At 47.0% G+C, this 18,315-nt stretch overlaps 1 long non-coding RNA gene across 2 annotated transcripts in view, besides 2 other annotated features; it reads left to right on the top strand.

The window, feature by feature from the left end:
• Nucleotides 1-1,297: 1,297 nt before the first annotated feature.
• LOC105378519 (uncharacterized) overlaps nucleotides 1,298-18,315 on the top strand; it is a 79,804-nt gene continuing 62,786 nt past the window's right edge. The window contains exons 1-2 of one of the 2 annotated variants that reach the window (XR_001747609.2): nucleotides 1,298-1,732; nucleotides 2,195-2,299. This is a non-coding gene — a long non-coding RNA (uncharacterized LOC105378519). Of the gene's footprint in view, nucleotides 1,733-2,194; nucleotides 2,300-18,315 lie in introns of those variants that run through there. The other variant, XR_946372.3, reaches the window with a different exon arrangement.
• Nucleotides 17,515-17,684: an enhancer, noted in NCBI's record as "experimental_10489 CRE fragment used in MPRA reporter constructs". NCBI's record gives its function as "activates a minimal promoter by MPRAs in K562 erythroleukemia cells, with activity observed for both the introgressed and non-introgressed 10:122724865 or rs55853266 variant alleles {active_cell/tissue: K562}" and the evidence as "EXISTENCE:reporter gene assay evidence [ECO:0000049][PMID:34662402]".
• Nucleotide 17,599: a transcriptional cis regulatory region, noted in NCBI's record as "Neanderthal adaptively introgressed variant 10:122724865 (GRCh37/hg19 assembly coordinates) or rs55853266 in the experimental_10489 CRE". NCBI's record gives its function as "modulates activity of the experimental_10489 enhancer by MPRAs in K562 erythroleukemia cells {active_cell/tissue: K562}" and the evidence as "EXISTENCE:reporter gene assay evidence [ECO:0000049][PMID:34662402]".

Raw genomic sequence — 18,315 nt, 5'->3', positions numbered from 1 at the left:
TTGGAATTTAACTTGGATTTTTTCTTTTAAGCATCAGAAATGTCTAATAATGTTTGTGAGTCCCAGAATAGAACATGTGGTCCTTAGGGAGTAGGGAGTAAGGTTTCCCAAGTAGCAGAGGCCCTATCCTGCGGCAGGTGTTTGCTAGAATCCTGCACTGGGGCCTTTGCTGAGGGTGCTGAGATATCCCTTTGGAAGCATCTCGAAGGCTGCATTGGAAATAAATAAGCCCCGGGAGGATCACACTGCAGGTGAAACCTGAGACCCTAAGCCAGCCAGAATCACCTTGGTATGACAAGCAGAGCTCTGCCTCTTTCTCTCATTTCTCTCTTCTGTTCAAAGAAAAAACTGAACTGGAATGAAGAAGCACCCAAAACTGGGGTTAAAAACTAGATATTTTGGGTTCAAAGTGAGGTTTTTCTGTCCCTCTTTTTGCACATATGGAGCCCAACACTGCTTAGTGAGCTGCTTCTTGCCAAATGCTTGGACAGCACCAGCCCATTTAGTTCTCACCAGTGCCCTGCAAGAAGTGTACTATTACCTTCACATTACACACCAGGAAATTAAGGTTGGGAGAGGTTAAGGGACTTGCAAAAGGTCACGGAGCTATGAAGGGATGGGGAGCTGGGATTCAAATTTGGGTTTGTAAGGAGAGAAGAGACGTCTTTCTTCTCAGCCTAGTAAGTGTGGGAGATCAACCGCAGGGTGATCGGATCTCCAAGATGAATGAGTCAACAGGACTTTCAAAGCACTATCTGAAGGTAAACAAGTCAGTATCATCTCTCCTTAGGGTCTGTGAGTTACTTTTGCTCTCTTGAGGGAGAAACTGAAATCTACACCGAATTGAGCGAATTGAGCCCAAAGCAGGGGCTCAAGTTTCTCTCAGCCTTCCTTTGCTTACAGCCCTGAGGGGATCCTGGCTGGGTGCTATTTCCAGGAGGGTCTCTCCCTCAGCAGGGAAAGGAGAGCAGGATTTGCAGAAGCTCCAGTTGGAGACAGAGCCCTGGGGGCGGGGGTTGGTGGATAGGGGTAGGCACTTGGCTTAAGCCAGATCTGAACTGTTTCCTTCTATCCTGCTCCTGGGGCAGGAGGCCCCCTGCAAGGCCCTAACTATACTGATCTTATCTCCTCCTGGGGAATTTTCCCACAGGGAGGCAGGAAAGGTCAGCAGTGTGTCCTGAGAGCCCTAAGGCAGGCCCACCCACTTCTACCACATGAGTGCTTTGGGAGAGGTACTGGAGGCCACACCTGTAAACCCAATAGGTCCTTTTAATACATACCAGGGAGCTGCAACTGGGGGATGCCACCGTGGTGCTGGGCCTGCAAGGGAGCCCCCAGGAGACTCTATTAAGCTCCCATTTGACAAGTTTTAAAACTGGCCCAACCCAGGCATGTGCACAGGATCAGAAGCCCCATCTCTCTAAATTACTAGGTTGAAATGCCACATCTTAACGACTCATGCACCGTCCACACTACTGCTGCGGTATCTGTGTCCCACCAGGGCTGTGTTTGATTTTTTAAATGAACTCGATTTGTTTTATTGTTTTGTAATTTGAACATGTAGAGATGGAGGTAAATAGAAAACCGGCATCTGTGTATTACACATAGAAAGTCACCATAAAAATAAACACAATGAATACTCTTCAGCAAAGGGAATGAAAAATCTACAACTACATACCACTGAACACAAATGGAAATCACCAACAGGTTGAGGGAGAGAAGCTGAGCCCAGGTGAGTCCATTTAAATGACTGATGGAAAACTAAACGCAGGCAAAATTATCTTCTGTTGGGAGTTAGGAGAGTGGCTGCCCTTCTGGAAGGAGGGATAGAGAGTGGAAAGGGATGGGGGAGGGGCTTCCCGGAGCCCAGAAAAATTCTGTTTTGTGAATTCAAAATTAGCAAATTCTGTTTCTCCATCTGGGTGCTGGTTTCACAGGTTGTTCAGTTTGTGATGATTCACTCCGTTTTACATCCAGTTAACATCACGGATGGTGCTAAACTTCAAAATAAAAAAAAATTAAAAGTTAAGTAGAAGGGAGTTAACACACTACGGTGCGTATTAAATTCTGGCCAGAAACCAGGGTCAGTTTAGGGCCTGAGGTCTGCTCTCCTCTTTTAAGAAAAGGCTGAACAGGTGCGCAGCAGGGGTCAAAGCCTGTGCTGGCCACGTTTTCTGCTCCTCCTCCTCCTCAGGTTTGGAGGGGCATTGGAAAGGAAATGACTTTCTCACTGTGCAATGCCAGGCTTTGTTCAAGCATTTGGGAAAACAATGAGGAGGCAGCTTATTCCCAGCTCCAGGTAAGTGATTAAAATGTGATAAGGGTGGGGAGCTGGGGCAGACAGAGGGGTGAGAGGTGGGCACCTGAGGGTGGGGGGCGTCAGCATATGTCAGAGTCTGGGGATGCCTCAGTGCTGGGGTTGAGTGGGGTGGGGAGGGGCGCTCCAAAGAGCCTGGGGATGCCCATGTCACAACCCTGGCAGAAGGAGGAAGCACTGCGGAGGCCCCACATTCGCAGGGGACCACAGGCCAGGTGCGCGTGGATTTGCGTGGTTTACTCGGATTTCAGGTCGGGCCTAGAAAGTAAACTAATGCTTTCACCTTCCCAGGGCAAGGGGAGCCTGTGGAAAGCACTCAGTTCCCCAGTTGGTGCCTCCTCGGTGACCACTCCCTCCTTTCTCACGCTCCCACCCTGAGCTTCAGCAGAAACCCCCTTCTGCAAGGATGGCCCGGAGCCCCAACTCCATAGCAACCCACGACAGCCCTGAACCCGTCCGACCCCCATAGGGCCCCTCAGCCCCCAAGGGCTGAGCCAGGGCCTCCCGGCGACCCTCTGCACCCCCCTCAGGCGGGCCTCCTCTGGGCGGGTTTAGTATTAAGCGTTAATGATTAAATGGGGGTTCTCCATTAACCCCGCAGCGGGCCTTTGTCTGTGGACTGCCTAGGCCTCCTCCTTTGAAATGCCACATAAAAATGATAGATGTCCTTCTCTCCCTCCCGGGATCAGCGGGCCCTGTTTCCCTTTAAAGTTGCAGTGGGCAACACAAGGGCGAGGCTTGTTTAAACACAGAAGCGCGAGGCCGACCCAGGGCTGCGCAGGAACGGCCGGGCGGGGCGGGGCGGGCGGGCAGGCAGAGTTAAGCGCGCGGCGGCAGCAGGGACGCGGGGAGCGGCTCGCGGTAGGGACACGTGGGACCGCGCCGGCTGCACCCGGGTGCGGGGCTGCGCGCTTAGGGCCTGAGAACATTCGGAGACCGGTAAGACCCGTCTCTTTGCCGAGGTTCGCGTCGATGGCGAATAATGACATCGACTCCGAGAGTGCTGAACCTGTCCACGCGGCGGAAGGAGTTGCAATGAGAAGTGAACGAGAAAGCGTGTAGAAAGGGTGTGGGCGTGGCTTGTGCGTTAGGCGAGCTGTTCACCTGCACTGCTCAACGCGCGGTCCAGGCGCCGGCAGCATCCGCACCTCCTGGCAGGCTGCTGCAAAGGCGGGTCTCAGGCGGCTGCATCAGGGCTGCACGTTAATTCGGTCCCTAGGCGACTTGTGTGCGCAGTAGTTTGAGAAGCCCGGTCTATGTAACCAGTGGCTCTAGTAACAATAGGAATAATACTGGCTAATATGTATCGAGTGCCTAGCGTGAGTCCAGCACTGTTTTAAGCACCTTACAAAACTGTCCTGTTTAATCCTTATGACATGACAGGTGCAGCATGTTGCTGACGAGAAGGTTGAGGTCCGCAGAGGTTTGGTGCTTTGTCAGAGATTACACAGCTGATGATTAGAAGCCCAGGCTACCATAGGCTCGCATACGAGCACGAGTGCAGAAGCCCCTTCTAGGTTAGCCCTGGTGTGTGTGTCACTTCAAGTTGGAAACTGTCCTTTGAAATAATCAGGGGCCAAATCTTGTCTGCTTAACGTGCACCCAGCTGAGATGGATCAGTAGGAAGCTCACTTGGCTCAAGAAGACGCACTCCTCCTGCCTCCCACCTCAGTCTGCTGGAGATAAACATGTGGCATGTCTCCTCTCCACCGTGCAGTGTTTAGAAAGGAACATCAGTGCTGATGGAACCCACCCCCACCGCACACATACCCTCAGGTCCGCCGTGGCCCCATGAAAGGGTTAACTTAGGGCTCCCTCACTACATAAATCTGTGTTTATCTGCTGCAAAGTAAGCTATTTAGGTTTCTGATTTACAATCCTTGGTTTTCATAAAAGTCAGTCATTCCCAGTAAAAGAATGTGGGTTAGATTTATAGGATCTGCGTTAATCTTTAAAGCCCAAAGCCGGTCTATGACTCACCCTCTGTAATGTTCTTGCTCTAGTCCGGAGATATTCATGTGTAAAGAGAAAGAGTCGGATCTCTGCCCTGAAAAATAAGACTTTTGGGGGGAACTAATTATAATGGCGTCAATTGTACTACGCTTGTAAATTTGCCGTCAGCGGGCCCCCCGGAGCCTGTATTCCAGGGGTTTTATTCCTCAGTAAAATGTGCTCTGGTTTGCAGTTTGGCATATAAGACCTCCACTGGTATGAGCCAATGTTTTTTTCTACCAAATTATTAGAAATAAACAGCCCACCAGTGGAAAGGCAGCAAAATTATAAGCAAGGAAAATAAATCTTGGAATGTTTGCATTTGGCGATTTTAATAAAGTCAGTCACTTAGCCCAGCAGCCCAACTGGCTAAATGGAGCTGTCCTGGTATTTTTACTTTAATTTGAGTTTGTGTTTTGCCAGTGTGAAATGGGGTCAAGGCAAGACACCATGGAAAAAGGCTTTGATGTCTCCTTGAAAAATATCTTGCACTGTGACTTCATGATACTTAGTGTCCTCTCCCCTTCCCCACCCTCAGCCTCCAGCTTGAAGAGCTGAACGTCTAACCCATGACCATCACACGTAATAAAATATCGCCGTCATCAACAATCCTCTTTCCAACTCCCTCCCCTTCCCCAGTGAAGTCAGAATTCAGGCCAGAATCTTACAATGTGAAATACAAATGCTGATCAAGATAACATAATATTATTAAAGGGGACGGAGGAGACCGGCCTTTTAAACTTTCTCCAAAGTAAAGCCAAGGTGAGAGGCCCAAGTGCGAGAGGAGAGAAGGGAAGGAAGGTTGTATGGATTGGGCTGATGGCCAGTCCAAATAGAACTGGTTTAGGAGGTGAAGATTTAGCGGTGGGTGGACAAATGGAGAGCAATGGATTGGGAAGGATGGCAGAGAGCAATGATCCCAGAATAAAAGCCAGTGCTCCCTCACCAAATGTATGAAAGAGAAAGATGTGATTATATTTGCAAGAGCCTTAATTTAGTCTTAACAAGGGTAATGTGAAAGACTTTGACATTTTCGCTCTTGGTTGGGGGTCAGGAAATGTTTACTACAGATCTACAAGGTGTAGCTCAAGGCCCCAGGACACATAGACTAACGTGACATACCTTAACTTTTTCCCAGACCAATGAGAAAGCAGATGAGTGGACAGAGGATTTTAGTACAAGTACGCAGTGCATACAGAATGCTTCAAATCTACCATGTGTAACCCATTAATATTTCAATGTAAACAATGAAATCCTGTTGGGCCTTTTTTTTTTTTTTTTTTTGAGACGGAGTCTTGCTGTGTTGCCAGGCTGGAGTGCAGTGGCACGATCTCGGCTCACTGCAACCTCCGCCTCCTTGGTTCAAGCAATTCTCCTGCTTCAGCCTCCCGAGTAGCTGGGACTACAGGGGTGCACCACCATGCCCAGCTAATTTTTGTATTTTTAGTAGAGACAGGGTTTCACCATGTTGGCCAGGATGGTCTCAATCCCTTGACCTCGTGATCCACCCACCTCGGCCTCCCAAAGTGCTGGGATTACAGGCGTAAGCCACTGTGCCTGGCCCTGTTGGGCTTTTAACTCACCTCCTCCTTCACCTCAGTGCAGGGCATTGTGGTAGGTAGGCCCTTTGGGAGCCCTCAAAGATGAGCAATGTGTGCCTGCCCTGACTGAGTTCAGTGGGACAAGGAAGATACATGCAATATACCATGTAGAAAATGATAAGGGCAATGCACGGAGAAATTATGTGTGAGTCTGGAGACCAGGGAAGGCTTCAGGGAAGAGGTAGTGTTTCTATGGCTCTCAAAGGCTCAGTAGGAGTTTGACATGTAAAGGTAAGGAGCAAGAATAACCCAGAGAAAGAAGAATGAATAACAACAGTTAGGAGTAGGAGGGTGCTGGCTTGTTTGGAAAGAGGCAGGAGGACCTCTTTGTGGGTGCTTCATGGACATGTGAGGAGTCTAGAGGCCAGATAAGGGAATCTAGGCCAGGTGTGGGTATGCTCGCACCCTTGCTGAGGAATCTAGACTTGATCTTGAGGGTACCTGGGGCTTTCCCTGACCTACTGAGTCTGGGGTTGGTACCTTATTTGTGGTCCCAGAGGATACTCACTTCCTCACTCTCTATTGCAGCCCTTTTCACCCTATAGTCCGAGGTCACACTTACTTTACCTATTGGATCGTGAGCCCCCTGAGAGTCTTGCTCACTCTTTTGATACCAGTCCCTAACACCATGCCCAGCACAAAATAGATATGCAAGAAACTTCTGATACAGAATGAGGGAAATGGAGTTTTCAACATTTCTATGATAATGAATTGAAGGCTTATAGCAGGGGACAGGTAGCTTGGAGCCAGGCCTTCAGAGAACTTGGACATTGGGTCCAATGGTAGACTGCCCCTTAGGGAGAGCCAGGAAGCAGAGATTCAATGGCTTTGGCAGGCAATACGGGTTGGGTATATGGTGTCAGATGCCTCACTTCCAATTTGCTAGGAAATGTGAAGGCTGAGTGTGACAGTCCTTGTGAAATGCTGAGCACAGTGCAGCTGTGAGGCTGTGGTCCCAGGAAACGGAAGGGATGTGGATGCCAGAGACTAGGAGGTTCAGAGCCAGGGTGAGGGGAAGTGGCAGTGCCAGCATGACAGATAGGGAGGCCAGGGTGCTGAGTAGTTTGGAGATGATGGTGACAAGAGGAGCACAGTGAATGAAGGAAGGAAAGAGGAGTTCAATTTGGAATATGCTGCCTTGGAGGTGTGCTATGACTCCCAGCAGAGGGTTTGTAGCTGGCAGATAGAAATATTTAGCACAGAAATGTCTAACAGTGAGTTCCAAAAGAGACAAGGCAAAGAGAAAGCCAAGGACAGAGCCTGGGAGGTTGCCTATTTTTAGGAGGTGGAGCATCAGACACTAAATCTGAATTTTCCTTTTTTATCATCTCCATCTTCTCTGTCTGTTTTAGTTGAAGTCACTTGGACTCACAGTGGGTCAGCCAATTTTCCTCTGACCTTGTTTTCTTCTTAAAGCCCCATAAATCAGGGGCCTCTCTAGGCATGTGAAGGGCAACCTCCACCCCCTCCAGCATACTGAGAAATAACCCAGCTGGCAGAAACCCTGAACTTTGTGTTACGCTGTGATTAGCACTCCTGGACAATGGTCAGCCCTCCCCTCCATAGGCTCCATGCATTGGCTTTTTGCAATGACACCCATTGTCTCCTGTGAGGGTCTAAAAGCAAATGTTTTCTGCTCATAAGTTGAGCTGACTGGGAGGATCCATGGGTGATGGAATGGAACATTCATGTACAAGTTTTTATTTGAACACCTGTTTTCAATTATTTGGGGTATATACCTAGGAGCGGAATTGCTGGATCACATGGTAATTCTACATTTAATTTACTGAGGAACTGCCAAACTGTTTTCCACAGCAGCCACACCATTCTACCTTCCCACCCGCAGTGTATGAAGGTTCCACTCTCCACATCCTCACCAACCCACTTGTTGTTTTGTTTTGATTATGGCCATCCTACAATGTGTGACGTAGTATCTCACTGTGTTTGGATTTGTATCTCCCTAATGACTAATGTTGGGAATATCTTTTCATGTGCTTGTTGGCCATGTGTCTCTCTTCTTTGGAGAAATGCCTATCCAAGGTCTTTGCTCATTTGTGAATTGGATTGTCTGTCTTTTTCTGTTGATTGGTAAGAGTTCTTTATATTCTAGATACTAGACCCTTGTCAGATCTGTCATTCTGTGGGTTGTCTTTTTCACTTTCTTGCTAGTGTTCTTTTATGAAAAAGTTTTTAATTTTGATGGAATTCAGTGTATCTATTTTTTCTTTTGTTGACTGGGGTTTTTTTGATCATATCTAAGAATCCATTGTTAAACCCGAATACTTATTGCTATGTTGTATTCTAAGTGTTTTATAGTTTTAGCTGTTACATTTATGCCAAACAGGGACTTTTACAGAGATGTGTACAGGGTTAAAGGAAACCAACAAGGAATGTTGCATTACCTTGGAGCTAGCCAGGCAGGGAAGCGGCTACCATCCCTAGGCCTGAGGGGCAAGAAATGGAAATAGAACAAGTGGAGCTGGAGCTGTGTGGAAAGGGTTGGCCACCAGGAGTGTGTCCTTTGATAGAGGGATGCATTCAATCCTCAGGCAGAGAATCAGGGACTCCTCTGTTCTCTGATCTTCACTGGTGCCCCCCGTTGGCTAAATCCTACCAGAAGCAAGAGGGCAAGAGAGCTGGTAAATGCAGTTCATTCAGCAGTCTCTTAGGGCACTGAACAGCAGGGAGGAAGTAAGGAGAATGGATCTAGAGATGCGGTCAGCTCAATAATGGCCACAAAGATGTGCAAGTCCTAATCTTCAAAATCTGTGAATATGCCACACTATAGAAAAGGGCACTTTGCAGATACAGACTTTGCAGATGGGGAAATTATCCTGTATTATCCAAGTGAGGCCAGAATAATCACAAGACTCCTTATAGAGGGGACCTGAGGGTCATTGTAAGAGAGTGAGAGATTTGAAGATGCTTATCTACTCGTTTTGATGATGGAGGAAGAGGCCACAAGCCAAAGAATGCAGGAAGCCTCTGGATGCTGGAAAAGACAAGGGAATGACTTCTTCCCTAGAGCCTACAGAAGGAATGTGGCCTTGACGACACCTTGATTTTGGCCCATGAGACCTATTTTGGATTAACAACCTGTAGAACTGACAGGTAATAAATTTGTGTTGTTTTAAGCCCCTAGGTTAGTGGTCATTTGTTATAGCAGTCATAGGAAACTTACACAGGAGGGTTTAGTGGAGGTTCACCTCTGCCTGGGGAGACCTGAGGTTACTGGTATGGGAAGAACTCCAGGTCACCATGCGTTTACTTTTGCTGGGGAGACCAACTTTCATCCCAGCCCCTGGTTTCTCTAGCTGGGGAGATGCCACAGCTGCCCTTGGTGATTGCATCTCACAGGTTCAATCAGAGAATCAGAATCACTCTGAATGATAGAGAATCAGACATTTCTCATAGGAATTGGGCTATACACAGTACAAAAAGCTGGTGGAAAAATCTATGCAAGGTGGTTGCCTCTGGTGTTAAGCCTGAAGTCGTTATAGGTCAGCTAGACCCAGCAGAGAGGAAAAAAAATTTGGATGTGAATAGAAGGGAGCATGGATAAGCTGGAATCCATAAGGACTAACTGGAACCCAAGCTTGTCTCCCATGTACCTTTAATAACACAGATGATCTGCTGAAGAAACTGTGCCCTTTGCCATGGAAGTGCACAGACACCTGGCCCAGGACTTACAGAAGTTGAAGGACCAGATCCAGTGGGAGCTGACAGAGCTGCAGGGGCACCTGCTGCCTCATGGCAACAAAGTGAGACAGCAGAGCAGCAGCAGCATGCACGAGCTGCCATGGTGCACTGTGCCAACCTTCAGAGCATGAAGTGGCTCCTGAGCCACCTGTGTCTTCCAGAGTTCCCACTAATATCTCCCCTGGCCAATCCTAACCCAGAGCCTTACGGGAAAGGGAATCTGGTTATCATGGCTCCAGACTGTCTACGTTGACATGTTTCAAATATCAGTGGTGTGGAAGGTTAACCTTCCTTAAGTGCCTACTGTGTGTCAGGTACTCCAACTTCATTGCCTCATTTAGTTTAATCACCTTGTCAATTACTCCAATTTATAGGCAAGGAAACTGAAGCTCAGAGGTGTTAAATGCCTTCCTAAATTAGGTACTCCAAAGAAGATATACAAAAGGCCAATCATTATAGGAGATGCTCAACATTATTATTTATTAGGGAAATGCAAATATAAGTCACAGTGAAATGCCTCTTTGCACTCAGTAGGGTGGCTATAATTTTAAAAAAAGATAGAAAATAAATGTGTTGGCAATGATATGGAGATACTGCAGCCTTTATAGACTGCTGGTAACAATGTAAAATTGTGCAGTCACTTTGCAAAACAACCTGGCAGTTCCTCAAAATGTTATATATAAAGTTACCATAAGACCTAGCAATTCCATGCCTAGCTCACACAAGAGAAATGAAAGCATGCCTCCATGCCAAAAGCTTGTACACAAATGTTCATAGCAACCTTATTTCCAATAGCCTCAAACTGGAAACAGCTCAAATGCCCATCAGTAGATGAATGGATAAATAAAAGCTGGCATATCCATGCAGTAGAATATTACTCAGCCACGAAAAGGAATAAGTACTGATTCATGGTACAACACGGATGAACTTTGAAAACATTATGCTAAATGGAAGAAGCCAGATACAAATAACCACATTTTGTAGGATTCCATTGATATGAAGTGTCTAGGATAGGCAAATCCATAGAGACAGAAATAAGATTAATGGTTGCTTAGGGCTGGGAGCCTAAGGGTAAATGGGGAGTGACTGCTAATAGACACAGGGTTTCTTTTGGGGGTGATAAAATTGTTCTACAATAGATTGTAGAGATGGTTGCACACCTCTGTGAATGTACTAGAAACCACTGATTCGTGCATGAGTGAATTTCATGGTATGTGTATTCTATCTTAATAAAGCTGTTTTTAAAATCATGCCACTAGCAAAGAGCGAAGCACAGAACCCAGCAAGGGTTTCTCTGACTCCAAAGCCAATATCCTCCCTCAGTACAGCAGATCCCCAACTTCCTTGGGCCAAAAATCACCTGGGGAGCTTGCTTAATATGCAGATTTCCTGGCTTACTTCCAGAGTCTAATTCAGTAGGGATGGATAGGGTTCGGGGAAGTTAGCTGCTTACCAAGGTCCCCGGGGGAGTTGAGAACAGGTGGTCTGAGACCACACCCAGGCACACACTGTCACCACTCTGGAGAGGACTTCTACATCTCAGAGCCAAAAATGGCATCTGGGAAGTCAATGAGACTGGAGAAAGTAGAGATTTTGGAGGCCAATTTTTCTATACAGGATGATTTTATTTTTCAGAGGAGGATGGAGAGAAAGAAAGAATTGAGAGAGAGAGAGAGAGAATGGAAGGCCATGAACTGTGAGTTGTATTGGACAGAGGTATGGGGGAGGCCAGGCGAGAGACCAGTTTGATGGAAGGTGCATTGAAGATAAGAGGAATGTAAAAAGTTTGTGGAAACCACTCAGAGAAAGCAAATTGTTCACTAGCCGAGTTCATTGCCTGCCTAGGGTTTCCAGGATGACTTGCTTCATAGTCAAGTGTAATCCTTGAGAGAAAGAGAATTTCAGTGAACTTGAGGTAACATCAGTTCTCTGGGGCTTTTTTTTTTGACGAACTAATCTGAACAAGCTTGGAAAGCACCCAGCGGTGGAGGTTAAATTTCAATCTTTTTGTGCTGTTACATCTTTGTTCCCTTTACCTTCTCCTTGAAATGGAAATGATTGATGCTTAAGTAACTCCAGCTATTGAGTAATGTTTATTCAGACTGCAGGGGAACAAGATAGGGCTTAAAAATAAGGTGGAAATTTTTCCTTTGAAAGGTACAAGTTGAGCCTTTGAGAGTCAAGTGTATTCCCAACTGCACAGTATAATAAAGATAAAGGAGCCAGCAGGCAAAAGGGCTCCCACAGATGATCAATGTACAGTAGTTAAGTGGAGCTCAAATAGTCTCATGAAGCCACCTGAGCTAAAGCCCTGGGTTATAAATATTGACTGGATCTTGGATTGTTTTGAGAACATCTTACGTCTTTCTGCAAGCCCTTTCAACCCAGGACCAGGAGGGCTTTGTAAATAAGCTTCTAAGGCTCTGAAGAAGTAGACAAATCATGTTCCCATATCCCAAGGTCTCTCGGGATAACACCAGCCAAACCCTCGGAGGTAAGTGGGGACTGGTGAGGAAAAGCAGACACTCCCCCACCCCACTGGTGATGACGGTCTCTGGAGGGGCCCCAAGGTGCTACCCGTCCACTCTCTTGTATGTGGGAGAGTTGTCCTATCAGCTCAAGTTGGTCATGTAATAGTGGCCAATAGGACTCCAACCAATCCAAAACACATGCAAAACTAAAATCATCCAAGCGAAAAACAGAGAAATTATTTCTATTTTGCTAGGATACTCTAACAATTGAGTTGGTGATCTTTGAAACTATAGATTGAAGATGGGAGTGAGGGGCTGAGAGTCTTCTGTGAAGCAAGAAGAAGTTATGATTTTCTGGGTGCTTTGCAGTGGGTCCATCGACAAGTGTTGGTGGAGCGCTGTAAGGAAATGACCCTTCCTTCTCTTGTAGGGGGAAGAATGGGGAATGGAAGGAATAACTGAGAGTCTTCATAAATGCCCCCCTCCCCCACTCACCAGTGCCTTGGTCCCTGGGTCTGTGGGGGAAGAAAATGGTGTTCTATATGGAGAGGACCACCAACCCATTGCCATCCATTTCCACTACACCATGACCAGTGAGGGCTCAGGCCCAGCATGAACGGGAAGGGAGAACGGAGGAAATTGTCCAGAGCTTCCACATGGGACTCCAGGGCCGGTTCCCCTAGACAGGGCTGAGGGGGTGGGAAGGACACAAGACCCAGAGTTGGCCTGAGCTTGTGGCTACTTCAGTGTACAGAATATGATCTCCAAAACACTTCCATCTTTTATGTGTTTATATTTTTATTCCCTATGTGTTTAATTTTTTTTTTTTGAGATAGGGTCTTGCTCTGTTGTCCAGGCTGGAATGCAGTGGCATGATCTTGGCTCACTACAACCTCCACCTCCTGGGTTCAAGTGATTCTCCTGCCTCAGCCTCCCAAGTAGCTGGGATTATAGGCATGCACCACCAGGCCCGGCTAATTTTTGTATTTTTAGTAGAGATGGGGTTTTGCCATGTTGGCCAGGCTGGTCTTGAAACCCTGACCTCAGGTGGTCCACCCGCCTCGGCTTCCCAAAGAGCTAGGATTACAGACATGAGCCATCGCACCCAGCCTCTTTTAAAATTTTTAATAAAATGGTCTTTGAAAACTCCTAACCATTTCCTCTGAGCAAAGCAACAAGAGACCTTTCCCCTTGCTGGAGCACGCGGCATCAAAAGAAAAGAAGAGAGATTTAGGAGGAGAACAAAGCAAGATAACACTGACAAGGCTGAGAAGAAGGGCTGGCGTGGCAATGCTCCTCCACCTGAGCCAGCAGCCCCTGGGACTCATCCCTCTGCGTCCTTCTGAGGTTGTTGGGTTTTTTTCAATATTAAGATATGATTCACACGCCACATGTTCCATACTTTTAAAGTACATGATTAAAAAAACGAAAGTGTACAATTGAGTGGTTTTTAGTATATTTACAAAGTTGTGCAATCATCACCACTATTTGACCACAAAACAGTTTCATTACCTCAGAAAGAAACCTCATACCCATTAGCCACCAACCCTCCCGCTCCCACTCAACTCCTCCATACTCTGCTGCCTCCCAGTAAATTAGATAACCACAGATCTACTTTCTATCCCCCTGGGCTTACCTATTCTGGGCATTTAATGTAAATAGGATCATACAGTGTTTGGCCACTTGTGACTGACTTCTTTCCTCTAGCATAATCTTTTCAAGGTTCATCTATGTTGTGGCATAAATCAGTACTTTATTCCTTTTTATGGCTAAATAATATTCCTTTCTGTTGTTTTTACTTTGGGGCTATTAGAAGTAATGCTGCTGTGAACATCTGTGTACATTTCTGTGCATTTTTTTTCCAGGAATTTTCACCCCCTCCCTCAAAGCACCCAAGTTTAGGGCATGCAAGATGCTAAAAAAGTACACTTGAAAAGATGAATCTGATCAAGTAGCTAAGGGAAAGGGGAGGACACCTAAATTTATTGAGTACATATTGTGAGCTAGGTGACATACCTCCACATTGTGTGATAACTGTCCCTTTTACAAATAAGACTTTTAGAAACAAAAAGAGAGATAAAAAAGTTTGCCCAAGAATACATAACTGTCATACTAAAAATTTGGGGCAACTTCCCTGGCACCATATACCATCTGCAGATAATTCATTAAGGACAGAAGTCAAGTGTCGAATAATAGGCTAGATCTCCAGAATCGCTGATTCTGAAGCCAGAAGAAGCTTTTATCTATTGGTATAAAAATCTGAAGCCAAAGATGTGAAGTGACTTTCTCAAAATCACACAGGTTGCAAGTGGTAGAGCCAGGGCTGTAACCTGGGTCACCACTGGGGAGGAAGGAAAGCTGGATATGCCCTGAGCTGTCCAGTGATGACTTCTGTATTTGTCAGAATTTGCTAAGTTATGCTGCAATAACGAAAACCTGCAAATCTTATTGGCTTACAGCAACAACAGCTTCAATCTCAGGCATATTGAGAGCTGCAAGGTGAACATGGTGGCTCCATTCCTTAATGTCTTCTCATTCTGGGACACATGCCAGAAAAGTATCTTATAGTTTGGATATTGTATTCTCTTGGGAAAGGGAAAAGAACAAGAGGCAGAGCAAAGCCATGGAACTGCTCTAAGAGCTGCGCAGACATGGCTTCTGTTATATTCACATTCACATTCCATTAGCCAAAGCAAGTCACATGACCAAGCCTGGCAGTGGGGCAGGAAGCAGCCCCCACAGTCACAGGCCAATGAATGGGACGCGTAATCTTCCTACAGGGAAGTGAGTAGATGGGAACACTAAAGCAATCAGCCACAGCTTCTACAAGGCAAAGGAGTAGTTGCTTGTCATCTGTAAGGCTTCGACTGCTGACAAACATTCATTCGTTTAACACATTTTTATTAAACATTCACATGTGCTCTACAAGGTGCTGGAGTGCAAAAGCAAGTATGTATTCTGTCCTCATGGAGTTTACCGTTGAAAGGGAAAGGCTGAGATTAATGACAGAGGTACATAAACAGTGGTAGAATCCTGACAAATGCCATGGAGGAGAGGCGTGTGGTAATCATTTGTGTGTAAAGGTGCATAGACCTAGTCGAGGAGATCAGAGTTGTCCAGAACCATGGGCACCAACCCAGAGAGAGAAACTGGCTTCCTGGGCCCATGGCGATGCACACCCAACCTGATGGCAGTAATTTTGTATCAGTAACTGGGTGCCCACGAACCTGTCCAACAAAAGTGTGTGGAAATAACCACCTCCACAGGAGGGCAGGGCAACAACTAGGTGGAGGATAACAAGCATATAGTTTCACCTTTGCTCTCTAAAACCTAGGTCTCTGGCTACATGTCAGTTTTGTCATTTGCCAAATGGGTATAATAACGCACAGCTGACTCACGTGGCTGTTGTCAGGGCATGGAGATGGAGTCATGGCTCCCCCAAAGAGGTCTATATCCTAATCCCCAGAACATGTGAATGTGACCTTCCATGGCAAAAGGGACTTTGTAGATATGACTAAGGGAAGGATCCTCAGATGGGAAGATTATCCTGGTGGGCATGATGTAAACACAAGGGTCCTTGGAAGACAGAGACAGGAGGGTCAGAGAAGGAGATGTGAGACAGAGTAGAGGTCAGAGTGATTTGAGGAAGGCAATCACCAGCAGAGGAACACAACAGCCTCTAGAAGACAGAGAAGTGAAGGAACCCAATTCTCCCCAAAAAGCTCCAGGAGGAATGCAACCTGCCGACACCTTGATTTTAGTGCCCTGGAACTATAAGGCAATTAAGTCTGTTGTCTCAAGCCATGACTTTTGCAGTAACTTGTTACATCAGCAATAGAAAACTAATACACAAGATAAAATAAGATCATTGGTGTACACGTTCTCTGAAAAATGAAAAGCGCACGCATCTTGGTGGAGATTTTAAGTGTCCATAGCAAGTATTCAGAGGCTAGCAGAGACAGGGGCAGCTGCTGCAGAATTGACTCCACAGCCCTGCAGACAGATTGGTCACACTCGCCGTCCCTATACACAGTTTGGTAAAATTCCCAAGGAGTTGAATGCTAGAAATCACCCCTCCTGCACCCACTGAGGCCTGTATGCCTGCCTAGTAGAGGGGAAGACCCACCCAGGAGCAGAAACATTAAGGGCCCACCTGCTGTCCTCGAGCCTGGAGCCTTTGGCCTCAGCCTATGATTCTTCATCCTGACATCACATTAAAATCACCAGGAGAGCTTTAAAAATCATTCAGTTACTGGGCTCCAACCCCAGTGGTTCAGATTTACTGTGTCTATGGTGTGGCCCAGTCATCAGCATTTTTTAAACGCTCTCCTAGGAGCATCCAATGTGCAACCAGAGCTGGGAGCGGCTGGCCGAGAGGGCCCACCACGCAGGTCTATGGGAGAGTCATCCCTCCTCACAGCCTTGCTGGTGTCCAATTTCTTCCAGCCCCTGCAGCCTGGCTGGCGTCAGCCTTGCCCACTAAGCCAGCTCCTCCCAGACAGGCAGACTCAACCATAAATTTTAATTCAAACTATTCCTTTTTATTATTTTCAAATGCTCAAGGCCCTAAACATGATGAGAAAGTTGTTCTCACGCTGTGACCCACAGATCGGCAAGGTAGAGAGCTTCTCTGCAAGTTCCCTTTAGGGTACATCATATCTCAGCAGCCCTGAGGTCTGACCCGCATGTCTCCTACACACACACACACACACACACACACACACACACACACACACACACACACACAGTTAGACTGGTTATTCTTTACATCTGTGGATACTGCTCTATCCAGGAGTAAGGCCAGTGACTTCGTTCTGCTGAACTCTTTGTGTGGCAGCTCCTTCTCTGGGGCCAAATGAAAAGAAAATCCGGATAATCATGGATAATGTAAGTGCTGACAGGCACGGGTGCGTGACTCCACCTGTACAGGCCTCCTCCTCTATAAAACACATGTAACTTGTTGCAGCATGAATTACTGCTGCTTGGCGGCATGAGCTCACCTGCATTCCTGGGTTGTTTTGCTTCTTGACGGTGTGTCTGATGCCCGTGTGCCTGAGACTGACTGAGCCCTTTCTGGCTGGCCTCCCACCTAGAATATCAAAAAACTGAAGCTGAAGCCTTGCTTAGAACCTGGAGGGAATTTCTGGTTTTGCTCCTGCCCTGTCCTCTGTGGCCTGAGCCTGGGAGCGGAAGGGTCCATCCTTCAGGTCACATTGCTCCAGGGAGTGGCCACTTTTGGTCCAGGAATGCTTAGGAAGTCACACATGGCTCTGGAGAGCTAGGGAAATCTGATGCAGTGGGTCTGGGTGGGGCCTGAGACTCTGCATTTCTCACAAGCTCCCAGGTGATGCTGATGATGTTGCTGTCCCCAGGCCACACTGTGAGGAGCAAGGCCTGGGGTTTCCAACTGGCCCTGGATCTAGATCCAAACCCATCTCTGGCCTTCATGAAAACACTGCTGGTTTTTAGATACAAAAGCTATAAAGAAAGCCAGGCGTACGTTGGAAGGGTGAAACAGCGGTGTGACCCCGTCATGGCTGTGACTGGTGCATAGCGATGATGTTGCTAAAAAGCAGTCAGTAGATGAGGCCTCTGTTTTCCTTCCTGTCCCTTCCATTTTCTACTCTGCAGCCTAGAAACACACAGATGTCTCCTAGTTGGGCTTTTTCAGTAGCTCCCATAGACTAGGAGGTGCTCTCCCAATTGCTCAGGGCAGTATGAGGGGTCTCTCCCTTGAATTACAATCCACTTCTCCAGCCTGGGTCCTGCCTAGCACCTCAGTCCCTCCCCACTAAGTCCACACCGTCTTTCAGGCCTGGCCCCAGGGACACCCTTGCCATCATCGGAGACGTGGCTTGGTGGTGGCCTGCTCTGTGAGGCCTCCCTACCTTCAGCTAGAATTAATCCTTCATTCTCCAGGCCTCTCCACACTCGGTGCCTTCCCCTGCTCTGGGGAATTTTGTACTGCCAGAATTATCTCCCTGCCAGCCTCTGAGCACCTCAAAAATAGCACCTGCTAGGCACATGGTAGGCATTCAGTCAATGCCTGTTTAAGATACAAATGTGGAAAGCGTCTTGTCTCTCTCGCTTCACCGTGTGCACGGAAGCCATGGTTTTCTAACAATATAACCACAATGCAGCACGGTTCAGAGCTCAGGGAAGCAGACAGGGCACTTCTCAGTAAAGGAGTGCAAGCAGAACAGAGAATTCTTGATCCAGGATAGGAGAAGATAGA

The sequence above is a fragment of the Homo sapiens genome, chromosome 10 (genome assembly GCF_000001405.40).
Source record: "Homo sapiens chromosome 10, GRCh38.p14 Primary Assembly".
Lineage (NCBI taxonomy): Eukaryota > Metazoa > Chordata > Mammalia > Primates > Hominidae > Homo > Homo sapiens.
This window is presented reverse-complemented; position numbering and strand designations above follow the sequence as displayed.